General features: G+C 36.6%; 1 protein-coding gene across 2 annotated transcripts in view; it reads right to left on the bottom strand.

The window, feature by feature from the left end:
• The window catches only part of UBE2D1 (ubiquitin conjugating enzyme E2 D1), a 35,743-nt gene that overhangs the window by 8,981 nt on the left and 2,529 nt on the right, over nucleotides 1-24,233 (bottom strand). The window contains exons 2-3 of one of the 2 annotated variants that reach the window (NM_003338.5): nucleotides 367-430; nucleotides 242-273 (exon numbers count right to left, since the gene is read on the bottom strand). In NM_003338.5, coding sequence (NP_003329.1) covers nucleotides 242-273; nucleotides 367-430 — 96 coding nt within the window. The remainder of the gene's footprint in view (nucleotides 1-241; nucleotides 274-366; nucleotides 431-24,233) is intronic. The other variant, NM_001204880.2, reaches the window with a different exon arrangement.

Below are 24,233 nucleotides of genomic sequence, written 5' to 3'. Positions count from 1 at the left end.
TGGCACTCCATTATGTGTAATGATCTAGGATTCAGCAAAGGAAAACATAATAGTGATCCCAGGAAATATTTGCCACCAATGCTTTGGAAAATCATTGTAAATCCTTAATAATATTTTGCTTCCTAGGTGATTCAAAGTACAAGAATATTCAACCTTCATCACAAACATCTGATCAAAGGTGAAATGGCAAGAATGAAGTATGGCTGAGGGGGTTAATTTCATAGATATGAATCATACTTACAGGCCCCATAATAGTGGCTTGCCAGTGGAACACTGAAACAAACAAAGGAGTTTTGGAGTCATTAACAAATGTTCAAACCTATATTTTTAAAGGTAGCATAATCCCAGAAATAGAGCAAGGCTTACAGTCATCTCCCACAGGTCCAGCTGAACAGTGAGCAGGTGGATCGCGCTGTAGATCACTCAATTCCTGAAGGAAATCAAAAATATGTAAGGTTAATTCCTTCTTTTCCCAATGAAACAAGGGTAATGATCCATTAAGATGCAAACTATTAGCTTTAAAAACATTTAAAGCAGTTCTATTCAAAATATAAAAACATAAATTGTACTCTGTCATTGACTGGTAGAAAGAATAAGGTACTCAATTCCTCCATGAGACAGCTTCAGACCTTGAAAAGATTAAATGGAAAAAAAATACTGTTTTTCTTTAACATCCCTAAGAGAAAAACTATTTAATGAGTACCTACTGTATGTAAGATAATTTATGTAAATGCTAGGTTGATAATATATCAGAAAACAGGTACTATTTTAACAGGTTACAATCTATTGAGGGAGCATGAAGGCTCAGAAAGAATAATACTTCAGGATAACTTTTTTTTTTTTTTTGAGACAGGATCTCACTTTGTCGCCCAGGATGGAGTGCAGTGGCACGAAAGCTCACTGCAGCCTCAACCTCCTGGGCCTAAGCGATCCTCCCACCTCAGGCCCCCACTCCTACCCCGAGTAGCTGGCACTACAGGCATGTGCCAGCACACCCGGCTAATTTTATTTGTAGAGATGGGGTCTCGCCATGTTGAACAGGTTGTTCTCCAACTCCTGTGCTCAAGTGATCCACCTGCCTCGGCCTCCCAAAGTATTGAATTACAGGCATGAGCCACTGCACCCAGCTCATTTAAGGACAACTTGAAATGGGAAATAAACGAGCAGCAGTCAGGCCATGTTTTGAAACTTAGAACATTGATTCATACCCTGTTTCCTGCCCTCAAGGCAGCAAAGATCACAGAAAGGACACAGCTTTAGAGTTCACCCCGCCCCTGGGTTGTAATTCCAGTTCTTTCCATTTTTCTTCTTTTCTCTTTTTTGGATTTTTTTTTTTCCTCTAACAGAGAGAATTCCAGTTCTAATAGATCTCACTCTTTGGCCTTGTGGAAGTTACTTCACTTCTTTAGCCACAGTTTGGGAGAAACTGATCATCCCAAAGAAGAAAGGCATACATTCAATATAAAGGACTATAACTGAAGAACTTAATTTAGTTTGGAAGATCAATAATCATCTCTGAGGAAGTGACATTTAAGCTGAAATCTAAAGGATGAGTAGGAGTTACTTTTGGAGGAAAAGAGTGATACTGGGAGGCAGAGTGGCAGAGGATGAGGCTGGAAATGTGGGCAGAAGCCAGGCAGGAAACAGACAACCATACAGACCACATTAATGATGTGGTGTTTTATACCAAATGCATTAGGTAGGGGGTGAGGGAGGTCTTAAGAAGTGGCATGTTCTGATTTAATGGATGGTTGTGACTGGATTAGACATGGGAAAGAGGAGAAGCTACAATATTAGTTGCTGCATAGGCAAGAAAAATGGGGGCTTAGATTGGAGAAGTGGCAACAAGATAGAAGTGGTAGATGTGAGATACTCTGAAGGGCCTATCTATCACAGGAGTTGATGAATTACATGTGCAGAGGAAGGAGAGAAGTCATAGATATGTATGATGAAGATTAGGGACAGCTAACATTTATTCAATGTCTTAGTCATTCTAACAATCCTCAGAGATAGGTGTTATTATGTTCCCCATTTTACAAGTGAATAGTTAAGGTGACATACTTCACTGCATGCTTGAGTAACTACTATAGGGCGGAACTGGGATTCAAACCCAGGTGGGCGATCATCTCATGTTTTAGTTCCACAAATGTACGAATGTGGATGCCATTCACTGAGATAGAGAACAATAGAAGACAAACTGATTTGGAGAGTAGATATGTTGAATCTGTAATCCTTGTGATATGAAGAAACAATGTGGTTCAACATACAGGGGTGGACCTTAAAAAAGGATAGAAATTGGAAAATCATTGCATATATCTGATATTTAAAACCATGAGAATGATGTAAACATTTTTGTGGGAACACACAAAAATAAATATGCACTTAATCAAATCTAAGATGTCATCAACTGTACAGCACATCCTTATTTTAAGTACCAATAATTAAGAAAAAATGCTGCCAATTTATTTTAAAACACCATCAATTGTAAAATGCATCCACACTTTAGAAAAGTTAAAATGTGAAAGATGTCCACCTTAGAATCACTGCAATAAGGTAATTATGGCAATGAGTTCAGTGCTCTAATAGAGACAAACAAGAAGGAGGGTGTGACAGGGAAAGGCCTTCCTAAGAAAGTGATAAATGAGCTGGGTGACTGAGCCAGGTACAAACTCAGGTCTCCTTCTAAGCTCAATGTTATTTTCCAGTATACCTTGGTATTTTCATTTTTGTTTTGCTTTTTTTTTTTTTTTTTTTAAATAGCTGGTGCGGTTTCTCTTCCTAGTAAGAATTAACTAACAGGGTTAGCTGCTTCTTTGGTCCATGTTACAGTTAAGCAATAACGGACCAAGCAGGCTGATTCATGCCTGTAATTCCAATTACTTGGGAGGCTGAGGCAGGAGGGTCGCCTGAACCCAGGAGTTCGAGGCTGCAGTAAACTATGATTGGGCCTCTGCACTCCAGCCTGGGTGACAGAGCAAGACCGCATTTAAAAAAAAAAAGAAAAAGAAAAAGCAATAAGGAAACAGATTTCAGACTTTGACTTAACTATGCTGGGTAAAAGCAGCAAGGCTTTGAAGTTCAAGTCTGGGTGCCACCACTCACTTCCCACATGATCTTGGGAAAAATCTTTTTTTCTCTCTCCAAAGCTCAGTTTTCAAGTGGCACTACCTCCATCCACAGTTTCTATGACAACCAAGTGAAATGATACATGTCAAGTGTACAGCACAGTCTCTGGCACATAGTAAGCATTCAAATAAAGGGAACTGACAGCCTTCCAATTCTCTAGCAGCAGAATACAATTATTAAAATAGTTTAAATGACTGAGGGAGGAACAGTTCCCAAATCACAGCCCCATTTTAGAAGGGCTGTGCCTTGTAACAGTTTTCTAATTTGGGCTTTTAGGAGATTGCCTCTGTAATTATTCATCATGTTGAATTTTCTAAACATTAGTGTAAATGGGACTTCTTTGCCCTCATTTTAACTAGCAAACTAGTTAATCAGAAAATGATAGTCTCTGTAGTTTTAAAAAATTGTTAATGACTTGCATGTACATATTTTACAGAGATAATGTGTATGTGAATAAATCATACATATGCACAAATACATACTGATTTTCTTTATTAACAAGAAAAATGAAAACCTTATTTTAGTTGGAACAGCCTTGAACCATATTCAAATTTCACATGTCAGGCTGTTCTTCAAAACCCTTTAAAATATTATATTATATATAAAAACAAAGGTTATCTTGTTATTATTATTATTTTTGATGCACTAATTCTACCTCCTCTGTTAGAAGTTAGGGCTAAGGAAGAGAGAGAAAATCTAACACACACCTGAAAAGGCCGAGTTCTTAAGCTGTCACTTTATTACAGCTCATCCACATAGGAAAGAGGCAGCTGATAGTATATCAAACATCCTTAATATTCACATGGATCATTATTTGTCACAAATAATTACAGTAATGCTTTGGGGAGGAGACTTACATAACCTACACTTTTTAGGAGGGTCTAGATTCCTAATGTTCTATCCCTTTGTCAATCCATGTGTCTGGAAATACGTCCTGTTATTTTTTCAGAAATACGTAACTGAAACTAGGATGCGTATGTGCAGATAGAATGACCTACAGAAAACAAAAGGTACAACACATTCCCACTCTGGTCCACAAAAATACAGACTTTAAATTTGAAAAAAGAAAAATGAAGATATTTTGGAAAATTTTGAGATGTGTTAATGAGGTGAAAATATAAAACAAATAGAAACTACAACTAGACAAACAAAAACCCCACTTTTTTTGCTTAGTCTGTGCAGCAGCCAGTGTACTTTTAGATGACAGACAAAATCAAGGATCACTTTTATTTGTTGAATTCTTTCTTTTGATTTAGATTACTCTAAGTTTTTCTGGAACTGCCTTACTACCTGATCTATGCTTTCTCTGCTATAACTGACATTCTTAGTTATCTGCTTTTAGCACCACTACTACATATGGGGTATTAAAGATAATTTAAGGATTTTTATGTTATTCCAAACGGATATGTTAGGATTAGTACTCTCTTCCCTTGCCCTTCTCCCCTACTCACCAAGTAAGAATTAACACTGAATTAGACAACTTGCTCAAGACCATAGGAACCTCTGAAGAGCCAGGACTTAACTCCACATTCCTCACTCTAATAGAAGTCCCTCTTGAGAACAATTTATATACCCCAGATTCCCACTTCTTGAATATTTCTTCCTATTCCACCACTACCTAGAAATCTAAGATGCACCCTATAAATAGCCTCCCAATAACGATTTCATAAGCCCCCCAGGCTTCCTGCCAAGAACTCTTCATGGCCATGCTTTTGTCTTTATCACATGCTGCATTAAAAGATCTCAAAGACAAAGGATTTAAAAGCATTCAATATTTTCATTAAGTATTTTATCTACATATGTGTGTTACAAAAGCAAAGCAATGATTTGTAGGAAAAAAGAGAGCGAGCAATGTATAGTTAAGCACCCACAAGACCATACCTGGACCAAACCATTGTCAATTACAATACTTCCATCCACAGCTTTGTTGGGAAATAAGCATGTCACTCACTGTTGGAGGGAGGATAAGTTGATACAGTCTTTTGGAGGGAAATTTGGTAATAACTGCAAAAGTAGAAAATGGATATGGTCTCTGACCCAGCAATTTCACCTCATAGAAATTACTGCCCTGGTAGCTAAAGATACATATATAAGGATATTTACTGCAGCATCTTGTATAAGTATGAAAACTGAAATAACCTAAAGGTCCATCAATAAGAGAATGGCTTCATGAAATAATACAGCCATATTATGAAATACTGAGTAGCTATTTAAAACAGTGAAACAGATCTATATATATTGACATTGAAAAATGTTAAGTGAACGTAATATACAATTGAATGAAAAACACAAGTTACAGGACAGTATGCCCATTATGATCTCATAATATACATATAAATTCTAGGCAAAAATAAATAAATAAAAGGATACACAACAAATTGTTAATGGTAGTTATCTCTGGGAGATACTACTGGGTTGCTACTTCTTTATGTTTTCTACACCATTTAATTTTTTATAATACTTTTGTAACTTTTTAAAGAAAAATAAAGATTTTTATTCAGGTTCTTAAGCATTTTAAAAGATAAAATATCCCACTCTGAGAGAATGGAGGTAATAAATAAATACATAAATATAAAAAAAGAGATAAAATGGCATTGGTTTTTTTTCCTCTACATATATATTAAGCATCTTCTCTTTTCATTAAAAATGTTTTATAAGACAATGAAAGAAAGACTGAGGTACTGTCACAGATTGGAGGATAGCTACTAAGAAGACCCAACAATTAAATCCAGTGTGGGATCCCAGATTGGATCTTGTAACAGGAAGAAGGCATTAGTGAAAAAAAACTGGTGAGATTTGAATTATGTGTGTAGTTAATAGCGTGATACCAAGGTTGCTTTCCTTGTTTAACTGCACAGTGGTTATATAAGTTGTATTAGGGGAAGTTAGGTTAAGGATATATATGAACCTTATTATTTTAACAACTTTTTTGTAAGACAAAATTATTTCAAAATGTTAGAGGTAAAACTTTTTATATACAATCTAAAACTTAATTCCCTACTTTCTTTCCCAAGCTTAATTATTTTCCTGTACTCCCCATGCCTGTTAATGGGACATAAGCCAACCAGTCATAAGGCTCAAAATCTTAGCACTGTTTTGACTTTCCTCTTTGTCTGTCCTTTGTATTTAATCAGATGTACTATATTTATATTCTTCCTCAAAACCCATTACGTTGCTTCCCACAGTTACCTCAAATATCAATTACAGTTCAATTGTAACTGCTTCCGATACTCTAGGCATTACTTGCAATAAAAAAAATCTTCTAAAAGCACAGCTCCTTTTATTTCACTCTTCTACTTTATTTCAGTGGCTCCCCATTGCTTAGTAAAGACCAAATTCCCCCAGTGAACATCTTTTCATTATCTAGTCCCAAACCTACACTCTTATTTGGGTTCCCCTTCACAAACTTGCCCAGTGATTCTCCAAAGAACCCCCTTGGGTTTTCTAAAACACTTTCAGGAAGTCTATGAGATCAAAATTAATTTCATAATAAAACTCAGATGTTATCTATCTTTTCATTCTCAATATCTCATGAGTATATAGTAGAGTTTTCCAGAGGCTTAATGACATGTGGTATTTTAACAGATTAATGCATAAGCATATGTGAGAATCCAGCTGTCATCTGTAAGCTTGACTATAACGAGATTTGAAAACATAAAACAATGCCACTCTACTTTTTTGTTTGGAAAATATAGTTATTTTTCACAAAAAAATGTTATTTATGTTAATGCAGTGGATTTGTTATTCTTAAATTATTTACTATTTAAGATGTTTTATTTTCTATTATTTATTTACTTATTTATTTGAGAGATGGAGTCTTGCTCTGTCGCCCAGGCTGGAGTACAGTGGTACTATCTCAGCTCACTGCAACCTCCACCACCCAGGTTCAAGTGATTCTCCTGCCTCAGCTTCTCAAGTAGCTGGGACTACAGGCATGTACCACCACGCCCAGCTAGTTTTTGTATTTTTTAGTAGAAAAGGGGTTTCACTATATATTGGCCAGGCTGGTCTTGAACTCCTGCCTCAGCTTCCCAAAGTGCTGGGATTACAGGTGTAAGCCACTGAGCCCGGCCAAATATTTAAATTGTTCTAATCTCTCATATGGTAAATGATAATACAAATAACCCACAGAAACAAACAATTCTTTGGATTCTACAATACTTAATAATATTAAAGGTTAATTTGTTCAGTGGCAACCAAAAAAAAAAAAATTAAAGGGGTACTGAGACCAAAAAGTTTAAGAACTGCAGGTATAACCTGACTACTTGGATGTTTCCTAGACACAGTTAAGTTTTCTGGCCCTTATAATTTTCTTTCTTCTAAAATAACCTTCCTTTCATCTCCCATGATCAAATTTTACCTGCTTTCCTTAATGCTATCTTTTCAAAGTCCAATTACTAGCTGTGTGACCTTGGGCAATTTACTTAACCTCTTTGAGTCTCAAGTGTGCCGTATGTAATATGGGGACATCTCTGGTTACCTTTAAGAACTGTACTGAGAATTAAAATTTCATACCCATGTATAAAAATACATAGGTAAAGCACCTAGCTTAATACCCGACATGTATAATAGATGCTTAATAAATGCTAACTTTCCCCCATCTGTTCCTCTTCTACCGGAATGTTTTTTAAAACTAAGAATTTTATGCACTTTATTTATGGATCCCGCCATAATACTTAGCACAATGCCTTTCACATAAGGTGTTTGGTATTATTTGAATCAGCAATAAAATTTAAAGAAAAATTTCATCAGTAGAAGATAAATATCTCAAATTTCAATATTTTACAAATGCAAGTGATTAGAGAATCAAATCAAAATAAATTATTCTTTTATATAGATATGCAGATTGCATACGGTAAAAAGTATAACAGGTGTTAGAATAGTGCAGGTCACTTGAAAACACTATGGTGAGCTTTTAAATAACATGTGAAACACAAAAATGAATATCAAAAGAATATTAATTACTAAGATATTATGCCATTGTCACAACTATTTTCAATTTACAGAATGTATTATATATTCTAGCAAAGTATCCAAAGCCACACAAAATTCTTGTTAAATTTTTGTTTCCATTTCTCTAGTTCAGAAGATCTCAAAGCTCTAAACATTCCTTATTGTTTATTTAGGATGGTATTGACCTACTTTCAGGACACAGCTATGGGTTGCTTTCCAAGGGGAGTTAGGGGTTTGTGCTGAGCTGACCTCATCTCAAAGTAAGTCGTCTTCTAACCACTGGCAATCCTTAGTGACAGAGCTGCCCACAGACAAGCTGCAGTCTGTGGCGTGGACAGAGATTTTGTTTGTTTGTTTATTCCATGGTTAACTTAACCAGATGGGCTAAATGTAGAAATTTATTAAGTACTTCTACATCCTTTCTAACAGGCATTATTCAGATTTTATACTTTCATCCCAACTATACCCCTCCAAGGCATTAAAGATTTAATGCAATAGTATCAGATTATGATGCTAATAAAAATCCTCATAAATCACTGGTCAGGCACATTGTTGATGATTAAACTGGGGCATGAAATTAAAGGAGAACTTACTCATTTGTGGAAACAATATTTTTACAAGATGTAGCTTAAAAGTTATAGCAAAGAGGTCCTCTAGGTTCTTAGAAACTTAAAAGTAGCTACAGAAGTTGTACCTCCAAGGAAATACAAGAGTAGCTATAAGTCTCAAGGGTCCCCTTCTGAATGTGTCACTAAAGTTTAGAATACTGCAGGGAACCCTGGAAAGAAAGTTTATCCTAGGACAGAAGAGTGATCTAGTAAGGAACTAGTAAAAATAACTGATGTAAACTACCTTCTAAATCAAAAATAAGGAACTAGTAAAAATAACTGATGTAAACTACCTTCTAAATCAAAAATAGAAACTGATATATGAAATATTAAAAAGTAAGGTGATAAGACCTGGTAAATTCTGAAAAGTCACAAGGATTGCCTCAGAGTTTACTTCCTATCCATCTCTTTAAACTTGGGGCACACTTTAGTACCCCTATTTGTGAAATGGTAGATTGCTGGGGGCATAGAAATAGTAATTTTTTTTTTCGATTTAAGAGATGGGGGTCTCCTTATGTTGCCCAGGCTGGACTCAAACTCCTGCGCTCAAGCAATCCTCCCGCCCTACCCTCCCCAAGTGGTTGGGATTCCAGGCACATATCGCCACATCCATGATTTTTTTTTTAATTTGCCAGTTATTACAAGTAGGACTCAGGGCTGCTGCCATCTTGCCACACAGACCGTGTGCCACTGACAACAAAGGACACCATTCACACAGGCCCCAAAGTGAGTGTTGCTCCCTGGGAGCTCTGCAAAGCCTTAATACAGAAAGTTGCACATAGGAAATAAACATATCCTTTAAACCTAACTTAGCATATCATCACTGTCTCAGGCAAACAAAAGTGCTTCCACTTTTGATGTGGAAGCAAAAGTGATGGTGTTTGGCATCTGAATGGGACCAAGAGTACTTATTTCACCTTTAGCTACTGTGACAATGTGTTGAAAATGGAAAGAAAAAAAAGAAATGTGAAACCCAGAACTCAAAAATTAAAAAGTGAAAACAATGACATTTCTAGTAGAGGGAAAGTTTTTTTTCAATAGATGGTGCTGGGTCAATTAGGTATCCATATGAGGAAAAAACAACCTTGATCCCCCTACCTCAAATAATATACAGTTACGTGCCACATAATGTCTCAATCAACTGATTGCATATATAGTGGTCACATAAAATTATAATGGAGATGAAAAATTCCTATCACCTAATGACCTTGTAGCCATCCTAACATCGCACTGCAATGTCTTACTCATATGCTTTAGTGATGCTGGTGTAAACAAATCTACTGTGTTACCAGTCCTATAAAAGTATAGCACATACAACTGTGTATGGTGCATAATAAATGACAGTGATAATCCACAACTATGTTACTGGTTCATGTATTTACTACATTGTACTTTTAATCATTATGTCAGCATGTACTCTTTCTACTTATAAAATAAAAAAAGAACGGTAAAACAGACTCAGGCAGGTTCTTCAGTAGATATTCCAGAAGAAGGGACTGTTATCAGAGGAGACGACAACTCCATGCTGTCCCTGAAGACCTTCCAGTGGGACAAAATGTGGAGGTGTAGAGGTGGAAGACAGTGATACTGAGTATCCTGACCCTGTGTAAGCCTAGGCTAATGTGTGGGTTTGTGTCTTAGTTTTTAACAAAAAAGCTTAAAAAGTGAAAAAAATGTGAAAAAAATTAAAATAGAAGCTTATAGAACAAGGATATTAAAAAGGAAATATTTTTATATAGCCATATAATGTGTTTTGTGTTTTAAGCAAAGTGCTATTACAAAAGAGTCAAAAAGTTAAAAAAATAAAGTTTATAAACAAAGAGTTACAGTAAGCTAAGTTTAATTTATTATTGAAGAAAGAAAAATATTTTTCATATAAATGTGTATATACTAAGTGTATGTACAGTGTTTATAAAGTCTACGGCAGTGTACAGTAATGCCCAAGGCCTTCACATTCACTCACCACTTACTCGCTGACTTACCCAGAACAACTTCCAGTCCTGCGAACTCCATTTATGGTAAGTGCCCTATACAGGCATACCATTTTTTCTCTTTTATACTATATTTTTACTGTACCTTTTTAATGAGTAGCTATATTTAAATGCACAAATATTTCCCACTGTGTTACAATTGCCTACAGTATCAGCACGGTAACATGCTGTATAGGTTTCTAGCCTAGGAGCAACAGACTACACTATATAGCCTAGATGTATAGTAGGCTGTACCATCTAGGTTTGTGTAAGTACACTCGATGATGTTTGCACAATGACAAAATTGCCTAACGATGCATTTCTCAGAAATTATCCCTGTCATTACACAATGCATGACTATACAAAAATCAATCCTAAATAGACTGTAGGTTTAAGTGTGAAAGCTAAAATAATAAAGCTTTTTAAAACCCCATAAAGGCAGAGATTTAACAGGACACAAAGAGCACTAACAATAAAAGAAAAAATGAAAAATTTGGACTTGATTAAAATTAAGAACATCTGTTCACCAAAAGGCACATTAAAAGTGTGAAGAGACAAGCCACAAAGTGAGAGAAAATATTTGCAATATTACATGTATCTGACAAAAGGCTCATTCAGAATATGTAAAAGATATTCCTACAGATCAACTTTTTAAAAAGCAGCTTAAACATAAACAGGCACTTTGCAAAAGAAGCTACCCAAATGGCCAATACACATATATATATATCAGAAGGGGCTCAGTTTCATTAGTCATCAAGGATATGCAAATTTAAACCAAAATGCTATGCCACTACATATCCAACACAATGATTTAAATGAAATAGAAGAGAGTACAAGTGTTGGCAAAGATTTGAAGCAAATGGAACTCTGGAACTCCTGGTGGAAGAGGAAAACTGATAGTAACCACTAATGGCAAACACGGAAATACTCTATGACCTAGCATTTCTACTGCTAAGTATATACCCAACAGAAAAGTGAATATGCATGCCAAAGTGCCATTATTTGTAATAGCCCCAAACCAGAAGCAACTCAATGTCCACCAACAGTAGAACGAACCAGAAGCAACCCAAAGTCCACCAACAGTAGAACGAACAACTCGAAGCATATTCATGCAGTAAGAATGAATGAACTTACAGCTCCAGGCAACAATATAGATGAATCTTACAAATATGGTGAGCAAAAGCAGCCAGAGACAAAAGATACATACTGTATGATTCCCCTTAAATAACGTTCAAAAACAGGCTACAGTAATGTACGGTGATAGAGATTAGAATAGTGATTTACCTTGACGACAGAGGTAAAGCTAAGAAGGGAGAAGAAAGGGTTTCTAGGGTCCTTGTAATACTATTTCTTGAGCTGGGTGCTGGTTTCACAGGTTTGTTCACTTTGTAAAAATTGGTCAAGCTGTATACTTATGTCTGTATAACTGAAACAAAAAGTTTACATTGTAACTTTTAAAATGTATTTTGCCACAACGAATAACATAATGATAACATAAAAAAAAGGGCAAGGATCTATAGAATTCATATAATGGAAAAGATGGCTATCAAATAATAAGACTAGTAATAAATCTGTATATGAAAAGAATTCATTATAGAAGCACACTGTGTGAGTATACATATATTTTGTGTATTTCGGTTTCATTTCCAGTGACTTTTAATCTAAAATTGAAATGCATTGTTGATTCTATTTCCTTCTTCCCCTTTGAGACAAAAATAAGCTTAGAACAAGTCAACCCTATACCTAAACAGATCAAGCAATAAATATCATCAAACTGGTGAAAGTATGTTCCACAAAAAAGTAGTCTGTGCCAATGAAGCAATTTTCTATTCTAATGTGATTAATATTCAAATAAAAAAACTAGCTAGAAGTATCTAAATTTTAAAATAAAAATATAAGATATTAATGATCAGTAAATTAAAGGATAGTGCCTTTATATCATGACTAGAACTATAAAAGCACTTACAATAAAGCCACAAAAATGTATATTTAATGGATTTATATAGCCTTACATTGCTAAGCACCTCTATTCTAGTTCAGATTTCTATAAACAACGAGACACAAAGAAAAGTACTGAAAGGTCTGAAACTGAATTTTAAATTGCCACAGATGGCATGTTTATAACACCCCCACAATATGCTGAGTGTTCTCCATAAAACCAACCTAGACACAATCCCTGCCTCTAGGGGACTTAAAATCTAAAAGTAGATGAGGCAGCCTAATTCAAACAAAGTAAACAAATAAAAGGAAACAAAGAAGGGAATGTAAGAGAAGGGGCCTGCATTAATCTCCTGGCTCCCAGAAGGGTAACAGGCCAATCTGAAGAGAGGAGAATAAAAGCAAACAAGTGAGAACTGCCATATTTACCATAAAACTTAATATGACGCAATGCAGTAAATATTCCCTAAAAAATTACGCTGACCAGACTAAAAATGCTTTGTTGTTTTCTAGCTTCAACAGTCAGAAGATCTAAATCTCCATAATAGATATAATACATACCCCACTGGTTGTGTGTAAAGGACATTAAACAGTCCATGCAAGCGGCTGACTTACAGCCCAAAATTTAAATTATTGAGTCCAAAGCCTGTGAAAGCATTATTTCAAAACTCCTGGCTCAACTGGCAATTAATTAACATGACACAACAATCTTTACCTCAAAATTCCTAAAACAAGACAGTGATTCTTACTGGATTGCATTTTTCATGTTGCCTCTAAAAGGATATATAAGCTGTATTTGGTTTGTCTGTAAATAAACATTTCATGGGCTTACAGTTCAGGCCCTGATCTCCTTATCCAGTTGACTAGAGCTATTTCAATAGAAAGATGTCAAACGATCATCAGAAATGTCTCCAAATACAGAACCTCTTTAAGCCTGTGAATTAAAGTACATTTGCATTTTAAACCATGTAGATTCTTCCTGGAAGACTTCAAAATGCTGACACATCCAATTAATGAAGTTATAGGAACCAAACTCACTTCAACAAACTGGTCCTATCTGCTTTGCTGTTTCCTTGGATCAAGTCTCTCTGGCAAAAGCTGTTTATTTAAAAAATAATAATGCAGCCAACTGCCACAAAAAAGGAAGATGAAGAAAGCAATAATATGTGACTTTGCCACATCAGTCATATATATTGAATGTGAACTATGAAGAGTGTAATTTAGGGCCGGGAACGGTGGTTCATGCCTATAATCCCAGCACTTTGGGAGGCCAAGGCGGGGAGATCACCTGAGGTCAGGAGTTCGAGACCAGCCTGGCCAACATGGTGAAATCTCGTCTCTACTAAAAATATAAAAAATTAGCCAGGCTTGGTGGCACATGTCTGTAATCCCAGCTACTTGAGAGGCTGAGGCAGAAGAATCGCTTGAACCCAGGAGGCGGAGGTTGCAGCAAGCCGAGATTGTGCCATTGCACTCCAGCCTGGGCAAAAAGAGCAAAACTCCGTCTCGGGGCAAAAAAAAAAAAAAAAAAAAGAGTGTAATTTAGAATAAAAGCTTGAGGTCAGAATTACAGACATTATTTACTCAGTGCCTCACATCTCAACCACTTTCCCCCAGTTTTCTCTGCACCAGGCATAATGATTCAATTTCCCAAAATGCTATCTTGCCTCTACTTTCAAACATGGCTTCCTGTTTAGATGGCGGACTCTTGATCACACTCTCTACATATAATATTTCCATCAGAGGAATTACATAAATAAAAATCGATTTTAGACAAATCCAAAGTAGCCAAGTAAAAGCTGTATTTGAATCTGTTTTATGAAGGCTTACAGTAAAAATGCATTTATTCGTTCTAGTAATTCAAACTCTAAACCTTGGAGTTACCATCTAATTCTTCTCTTCACATCCCACTCCTTCACAATTTGAAAAGTACCAAATTGTTCAGATTCTCCTTCTGTCTAGATCCCTCCCTCTGAAAGGGTCCCAGAAGGCCCATCAAATAGGACAGCTGAGGTCCAACGTGTAGAAGAGTCTGATATAAGCCAGAGGAGAGGTAGTTTAGGATAAGAACCCAAAGGTTCCAGCCAGGCAGACAATCTTAATATCTGGGACCAGACTGGATAACAGAAGGAGGAATCTGAAGAGATTGCCTAGACCAGGGAGCCTGTGATACTTGACTTGAAAGGCCAAGAAGGTGTAGGCATAGATGGATCACACCAACTCAAAAGGGCCAGGTGGTACAAACACCCTGTAATTTTTGTCATATATCCCTCTTTTCAATGTCCTCTGCTAACACTGTAGCTTAGACCCTCTTTGGATCTCACTTAAGTGCAATATCTTAACTTACCTACTGTCCTCCTATTTTTCTACCTATACACTGCTGCCAAAATCATCTTCTTGAAGAGCCATGTCAAACCTCTTCGATGTTTTCCATTCACCTTCATGTAAGACTTATAAGTCCTTAAAATGACTTGCCAGACCTTCCAAGACGTGACTTCTTTCTAGCGTCATATCTGCAACACTTTTCCCCAGTGCTCTCTGCACCAGCCATGACTTTTAATCTTGCCTTTAGTTGCAAACATGGCTTCCTTTTCGGCAGAAGATACTTAATCACCTCCCCTCCCCAAAACACACTTTCTCCCTCATTCTTTCATTTTATCTACTTTACTTTTACTTTCTTGTCTCATCTTAAACATCATTGCCTTCAGGTTTTCCCTGAAACCTTCAATGGGTCCCTGCTATATTCCTAGAATACTCCATGCATCCCTTTTCATGACATTAATCAAAATTATAATGACAAACAGTAAACAATCTTGAGTTTGATGAGGGCAAGGATGCCTATGATTAAGAGTGTTCATTCCGGCCGGGTATGGTGGCTCACGCCTGTAATCCCAGCACTTCGGGAGTCTGAGGCGGGCAGATCATTTGAGGTCAGGGGTTCGAGACCAGCCTGACCAACATGGTGAAACCCAGTCTCTACTAAAAAATACAAAAATTAGCCGGGCATGGTGGTGCACGCCTGTAGTCCCAGCTACTTGGGAGGCTGAGGCAGGAAAATTGCTTGAACCTGGGAGGCAGAGGTTGCAGTGAGCAAAGATTGTACCACTGCACTCCAGCCTGGGTGACAGAGTGAGACTCCGTCTAAAAAAAAAAAAAAAAAAAGTATTAGCTCCTATTACTCAAAAACCTTCAATGGCTTCCCCAATCTTCTGCATTAAGTACATATTTCTCAGCACAGGCCTTCAAGGTTGTCTACAATATGAAGCTTTATGGTCTACTGTTTCTGAACGATTCCCAAAAGCAGGATTATCTGCTCCTTCCCAAATAAGCCAAGCATATTCTAGTGTCTTCATTTCCGTAGCTTCCTCTACAAGCCTGGCTCCCCTAAGTCTTTCAAAATGCTATCCAGTCTTCCCAACCTATATCAAATTCCATCTTCTCCACAGTTTTTCCTGATTTTCCCAAATAAATTTGGCCTCTCCCATCTTTGACTCCCTTCCTGTTTAAATATATTGTATTTTCTGTTTGGTACTTTCCTAAATCCATCTAGTTGTTACAGGACTTTTCTTACACTTATTAATTTTAAATTTCTTAGATAATGGTGATACCTGTTTTTCTACATAACTAGCATCTCCTTACTGCATTTAATATATGCCTTGTATCAGAAGGTGTTTGATAAATGCATTAACTTGAATCTTTTGAGACAGGGTCTTGCTGTCATACAAGCTGAAGTGCAGTGGCACAATCACAGCTCACTGTAATCTTGAATTCCTGGGCTCAAGTGATCCTCCCACCTCAGCCTCCCAAGTAGCTGAGACTACAGGCACGTGCCACGATGCTGAGCTATTTTTTAATTTTTTTTTTAAAATAAATGGGATCTCACTATGTTGCCCAGGATGGTCTCAAACTCCTGGGCTCAAGTGTTTCTTCTGCCTCGGTCTCCCAAAGTTCTGGGATTACAGGCATGAGCCACGTGCCCAGCACTGAATCTTAAAAATCTATTACATAGGCTGGGCACCATGGCTCTCACCTGTAATCCCAGCACTTTGGGAGGCCAAGGCGGGTGGATCACTTGAAGTCAGGAGTTCGAGACCAGCCTGGACAACATGGCAAAACCCTGTCTCTATTAAAAATACAAAAATTAGCCAGGCATGGTAGTGCACACCTGTAGACCCAGCTACTCAGGGGGCTGAGACATGAGAATCCCCTAAACGCAGGAGGTGGAGGTTGCAGTGAGCTGAGATCATGCCACTGCAGTCCAGCCTGGGTGACAGAGCCAGACTTTGTCATTAAAAAAAAAAAAAACAAAAAAACTATTACCTATAAGGCAGCTGTGCAGCTGTGTATGGCAGTTGTCTAAATATGTGGATAAAACAATCTTAAGTACAAAAGCTAACAAATAGAGAAAAGCTAAATGGAATTAGAGAACCACGTTATGTTACCAGTGCAATAATAGAAATACATTTTATTTGCATCATAAATAATTGCTCTTTAGTTAGAGAATAAGATTTATTGACCTTATACATTAAGAGATGTCAACATTTATTTCAAATCTGATATTTCAAAGTAAATGGAATTTTAAGTCAAGTCTAATATAGCTCCATAGCACAGTGCCAAAGCTCAGTGTTTGTTTTTGTGATCACTGTTGTTTGCTGCAAAAAAAAAAACAGCAAATACATTATTTAGGTTTGCCTAAAATTATGATTCAGAAGAGATGACAGAAAGTATCAAGTTCAATCCATTAAGTTTCCAAGTGAGGAGTATAAAGACTGAGTCTCCTGGCCAAGGTCACAAAGCCAAACTAGGACAAAGGGACAGACCATCTGACTTCTACTCCAGCACTCTTCCCACCCCAATTCAATACTCACCTCAACACTGTAACAGCTAGAGCACATTATTTTCAACCAACACTGAAGCAAACAATGCTCCAGTACTGTATTAAGGCCATTTGCACATTTTTAGCTATGCTCCAGAGAAACAAAAGTGTGATAAGTGAAGGAATGAGAAGGAATTCTTATCTTTTCTCAGGAGCTTATATCATATAAAAGGTTAGAAACGAATACTATTTCATAAGCTTTCAGGAGCGTTGTGTTTAAAGACACTCTGAGAGTCAAGAAAAACTTTACAGGAAATTATACACAACTTAAATAAATAGAATTTTCACATAAAATATGCAAATGGAGCATTTTGAGTGCTCCATTATCAAAACTTACTATTTACTTTACAGTAACCAAAAAAAGATGGAAGAAAAAAGAGAGAAAACCTAGCTGCCTATTTATTAAAACGTGTGTAAAACATGAACATGCCTACCAATACCTACCAAATATTTGTTATTAAATATTGCTTCTTACAGCTCTATACCTAATAACTGGCATATAGTGGGCACTTGAGTGTTTCATAATAAATTCTCTACTCTCTGTTAGTATCATCCAGTATTATTCTTGAATATTATGGTTGTACATCAGTCACTAAAATGCTGCTACTTGTAGAAGAAAACAATGCATACGGTCTGTATCAAATGCAAACGTTTCCAAGGCTAGAACAGTTTACATTATGTGTATATGTGTATCAATATATTTGTGTGTCTCTGTGTATGTGTATATGTATTCATTTGCTCTCCCTATATATGTATACATGTATATGTATGGTTGTATGGCATGTATTTTTAACATTAATTTTACCTAAGGATCTTATGTTATGGAACAGTGATTTTCCAGCTTTCCTTACAGCAATTTATAATATGAAAAAGATTTTACATTACAACCTAGTACACACACACACACTAAAACAAATTTCATGAAACAACACCCTTACTATATGCAAAGCACTAATATTTTCTATTCCATTTTAAAAAGTGGATGTTTATTATTCACTAAACTGTTTGGAAACTCATAAAAGAGAAAAAAAAAGATACTGGGAAGGTGTACACCTTAGTTTGGCATCCATTTCTTAGAAATAACCTACAGTCAATAGATACCAACTGGAAAATACCAAAATGAAGTCTACAAACTATTAACCATCATTCATTCAAAAGTGCTGTTGAGCACCTGAAAAGGCTGGGTCATAAAACAAGTCCCCACTTGGGAGGCTAAGGCAGGTGGATCACCTGAGGTCAGAAGTTTAAGACCAGCCTGACCAACATGGTGAAACCTTGTCTCTACTAAAAATACAAAAAATTAGCTGGGTGTGGTGGTGGGCGCCTGTAATCCCAGCTACTTGGGAGACTGAGGCAGGAGAATTGCTTGAACCCAGGAAGCAGAGGTTGCAGTGAGCCGAGATCGCGCCACTGTACTCCAGCCTGGGCGACAAGAGCAAACTTCATCTCAAAAAAAAAAAAACAAAAAAAAAACCAAAAAAAACAAGTACCCACAATTTAAAAGGAGTCAAATAATAATAGAATTTGTTCTCTGACCATAATGGAATTAGAAATCAACAACAGAAAGCTATCTGTAAAATCTCCAAACATATGGCAAATAAATAACGTATTTCTAAATAATCCAAGGGTCAAAGAAGAGATAAAAAGGAAAACTAGAAAATATCTTTAAATTTAAGTGAAAACAAAATACAGCAAAATTTGGGAGAAGCAAAAACACAAGCCAGAGATTTCCTGGTTTAAGAGAAGAGAAGAAAAATGAACCCAGACCATTTGTTAGGTCCACTTGGTTTTCTCTAGACAATCCAACCATACTACTCCCAAACTCTGCTCGCATAAGGAGGGTGGCCACCTAGAATGAGAACAATCAGATTATTATCTGAGGAAGCTTAAGGTGAAGGAACCAACTCCTCAGCTCACCCCCACTGGAGAAGTTTCTTAAGTCTGAAAAAAAACCCAGGAATCTAAATAAGAACTGTGGTGTCACTAAAAGAGATGAGCCATACAAACGGGACCATATGAATAGAGGACAGTGGGAAATACATCCAGAAAGAGGTAAGACAAGAGGATGCAGAGCATGATGGTGGAATGGACAGCACTAGACTGTATGCTTCTAGATAGCAGCTTCCTCCCCATACTAAGGACAATCCTGGAACACAACAGCCTGTTATTGTCTAATGTGTGAAACTGAACCTTCACAGATTCATCTCAGAACCAAATTAAGCACAGAAAAACCTTAGCTTCTCAGAGACCATCAAGACCAAGATGGGCCAGAAATAAAACCTGTCCTGCCTTCAGACACATGTGCTAAGGTGGCCTGAGGACCTACCCCTCCAATTCCCAAACTGCAAATATGGTCATATTATATATTCTAGTATCATTTATTCCAGCATTTCACAGGAGAGGAGAGAGGATAAGTATCTCAATTCCTGTTGTTAATTCAATGTAATCAGTTTATTCACTATTAAAAAGGCAGGGACTATTACATTAGTAGATGACCATTAACTCAGTTTTATGGCTAAATATTAGGTTTATCATTTCTATTAGTAGCACTCATTAAATGAAAATAAAGGGCCCATATGTTTTCTATGCGTATTTCAGGGAACTAAAGCGAGTAAGGACGCTATTTTGCTTTCCTGGAGGCAATCCCACATCCTGCTAGGTTTGGTTTTCATATGTGCCTGGCTTCTTAAAATAGGCATAAACAGCTTTATTTAGTTCTAGGCTATTTATTTCCACAGAGAAGAAATCTCAGAACTTTTTAACTGTCATAGGTTACCTCATTTTTTTATACCTCTATTGCGATGAAGAAAGAAAAATACAGTATCAAGGACAAAAGAAAGACTGAGCTTAATTACAAAGATTTAAAAAAAAATTTACATCGTGGCTTATTAGAGAAAGAACACTATCTCGCTCTCATCTCAAGGAAAACCATTTATCCCAAAATGCATAAATACCGTGCTTCTTTAAGTTGTATCATTCTTTCTAGAAAGAACTGGAGTCTTGGATTTAATCTCATAATATGAACAGTTTACTACTCAAAACCACTACAGGAACTAAATGACTCTGTCAATTCAAAAAGTTATCTCAAATAAAAACTTCACAATGCAATGATACTTTTGACAGAGCATTTATGAACTACAACCAATGTTTCAAAATCCTTTTGGAGGAGAGAAATTCAAAGTGATGAAACAAAGATGATCAAAGTTATATTACTGATTTACAATGTTAAACGATCTCAGCATGTGTTACTTTGGAGCAGAGATTTGCGAAGCACAATCAACACATTTGAGCAATGTGTCAGTGAAAATGATCAAATATGCCAAGGTCTTAATTATAACACCACTTTACATTTGTATAGAACATTCCAGTTTGCAAAGCACTTATATCCCATAAACCCATTTGACTCTATGTCTTCCAGTTTAAGTACAATAGATACGAGTTCATGTGGATAAGAGAAGCTATGTACTGAAGTGGTTAAGAATATGGAATTACATAAGACACATTAAATTTAATTTTGCTTGCTTCTACTTCCCGTTTTAAAAACGTGGCTACTAGGAAATTTAAAATTAAAATGTAGCTCACATTGTATTTCTATTGGATAGCATTGTTCAGTCAGTTTATTGACAGATTTTATTTGCTATCCTAGGGGGCACAATCATTGGCATATAAAAAGATTAAGACAAGGAAATAACACTCTCTCCACTAAAGGATTTGACATTTTAAGTGAAGTGTCACAGGTTCAGTAATAATATTACAGCCAAGCTTAAAAGCAAAATAAAAAGTAAAGTCATACAAAACTTTGTCAGGGAATGTGGCTGTTCTCTTCTATAAACAGATTACTGATATTAAATTATGGAAAGTGATTTAAGAAACAATGTTACCATCTTTAAAAGCCCACAAATTTGCTCTGCTGAACAAGGAGGAAAATGCTCTGCCCATGGTCTGGTTTCTAGAACCTGAATGTAAAGACAGAATAAGGCAAGTAGTACTCTGATATCGTTTACTCCTTCATTTTACAGAGAAAGAAAATGAGTCTTAGCCTGACTAGGTGGCTTATCCAAAATGTCATCATTTCAAAATTTAATCAATATAAAAATGTTTATAAATATCTCATTAGTAACAATTATTTAGATTTGTATACTAGGTCTTCAAATTCCAGTACATATTTTACACTTCAGCACATCTCAATTTGGATACTAAATTTTCGTCAGCAATATTTGATCTATATTTAGATTTCATAAAGCTCAAGGTTGAAAACTAAATTTTCATACCCAATTTGTTTCCATGTGGCTACTGGCTACATTAGACAGAAAGCTTTATAGTATATCTGGTGAGTTCAGTAATCTCAGTGAATGCTCTCTTCAACATCCAAAAACTATCATTCTCTCCTAAGAAGTGGAAGAGAAGGATCCTTGACTCTCTCTTCAGATAGGCAGTTTGGTAGCTTTCAGTAGCGATATGTAACTGCAACTATTTTTGTGTTAACTGGGCATGAGAAGGTATTAAATAAAAGATTCTAAGACTGAAAAAAAAAAAAAGGAATGTGGAATTGAAGCCAACTGTTTGTTTTGGAATCGTAGCATTGTCACTTACTAGATAATGTGATCATGAGTAAACTACTCAATATTTCCCTGCCTTAGTATCATCATCTGTAAAATGGAAATAACACTGTTTCTACCTCTTGGGTATACTAAGAATTAAGTCAATTAATATATGTCAAGTACTTAGAAGGCAGAGTAACGATTACAAACACCCTGGTTTTTGAGATCAGCAGCCTCATATGTATGGATATCCATACATATCCATTGTATGGAAATGTATGGAAAATATGTACTAGCCTCATTGTACGAAGCTAGTAAGCCACACAGCCAGGAATAAAAACCAGACCTTTGGCTGCGTGAGGTGGTTCACGCCTGTAATCCCAGCACTTTGGGAGGCTGAGGCGGGTGGATCACCTGAGGTCAGGAGTTCGAGACTAGCCTGGCCAACATGGTGAAAACCCATCTCTACTGAAAATACAAAAATTAGCCAGGTGTGGTGATGCAGGCCTGTAGTCCCAGCTACTCAGGAGGCTGAGGTGGGAGGGTCACTTGAGCCTCAGAGGCAGAGGTCACAGAAAACCGAGATTGTGCCACCGCATTCCAGCCTGGGTGACAAAGTGAGACCCTGTCTAAAAACAAAAAAAACTCAGACCTCCTTCTTCCATTTGATGCTCCGTCCATAGAGGGCTGGGTTAAGTATCCTAAAGTTTTCTAGACTGACATAAACAGTTTAACATAAAATTCTACAAATCAAAAAAATTCAGCAGCTCAAACATTTATCAAATTTGATTTTAATCTATGTCTCTCTATATATGTTTCAGATTACATTGATTATTAAAAAACAAAAACAACTAATGTTCCATTTGGGGGCCAGAATTACACACTAAGGAATAGTTCTCTGAGTTGCTATGTTTGTAAAACGGAACTCTATTGCCTCACTTTTCAAAAGACAAAAATGTAAATAAACTTATCACATCACATCACATCACATCACATAATGCTAGTATGATGTTCATTACCTCAAATTCTTTATCAAATAAAATCTATGATGATGACAATGACTGTTTTAGGATTTCCTTTTTTTTGCCCTTTAGTTTTCAAAACATTTGGTATTGGGATATTAACACCTGTAATTTAAAAAATAATCCTCCCCAAAAAAAGTGTTTCAAGTAATGAAAATAGTATTGATAGAAGAAACAACTTAGAAATTACTTCTAGAAAATAGATACCTAGGTGAAAAACTGTCCTCCTCTTTTCAGACATGTTTTAGGTATCTTTCCTTAGACTTTGTTCAAACTTTTTTTCTTTTAATGATTTAGGTGACTGCGATAACATCTTTCACTGTTATTTAAAAATAGGGCATGGGTGTGTAAATTTATGAGCTGGAATGCAAAACTGGCACACTAAATCAGAGCATTAAATCATTTAGTATATTCTAGTATAGTTAGTTTATTCTACTATAAAAATATATTTTAAGCATTGATATCTCCATGCTCTGTCTTTACATATAATTTTAATCCAATCATCTTTATTCTTTTTCATAGTGAAGAAATGTGAAATCATGAACTTTTTAACACTCTCAAATAGCCAAGCCAATTAAGAGATTATTGGCCGGGTGTGGTGGCTCACACCTATAATCCTAGCACCTTGGGAGGCCGAGGTAGGTGGATTGCCTGAGCTCAGGAGTTCGAGACCAGCCTAGGCAACACGGTGAAACCCCATCTCTACTAAAATACAAAAAATCAGCGGGGCATGGCAGCATGCGCCTGTAGTCCCAGCTACTCAGGAGGCTGAGGCAGGAGAATTGCTTGAACCCAGGAGGCAGAGGTTGCAGTGAGCCGAGATCATGCCACTGCACTCCAGCCTGGGAAACATAGCAAGACTCCATCTCAAAAAAAAAAAGAGATTATCTTTGGACAAAGCACTCCTCCACTCCAGGCCTCTGGATCCTTCCTTGAATAAGGACAGGCCAGAACATCAGTGGTCCTCAGTCTTCTTTCCACCCCAACCGATCTGAGGGATTCAACATCTCTCCATTTATAGAAGTGATGACAGTCTGAAAACGTCCCACAGGTGATTCTAAGACACTGCCTTAGAAGCTGTTCCCCTGCTTGTACCCTCTACTACACTACAGCAGACTTATCTGAGGTTCCACACAACTCTATGGCCTGCCACCATCTATAGGTACAGGAAAATTATATTAATACTTCAGTGAGCTTAA

The sequence above is a fragment of the Homo sapiens genome, chromosome 10 (genome assembly GCF_000001405.40).
Source record: "Homo sapiens chromosome 10, GRCh38.p14 Primary Assembly".
In the NCBI taxonomy this organism is placed as follows: domain Eukaryota; kingdom Metazoa; phylum Chordata; class Mammalia; order Primates; family Hominidae; genus Homo; species Homo sapiens.
The sequence above is the reverse complement of the archived record's forward strand: the minus strand, read 5'-3'. Positions and strand labels throughout refer to the sequence as shown.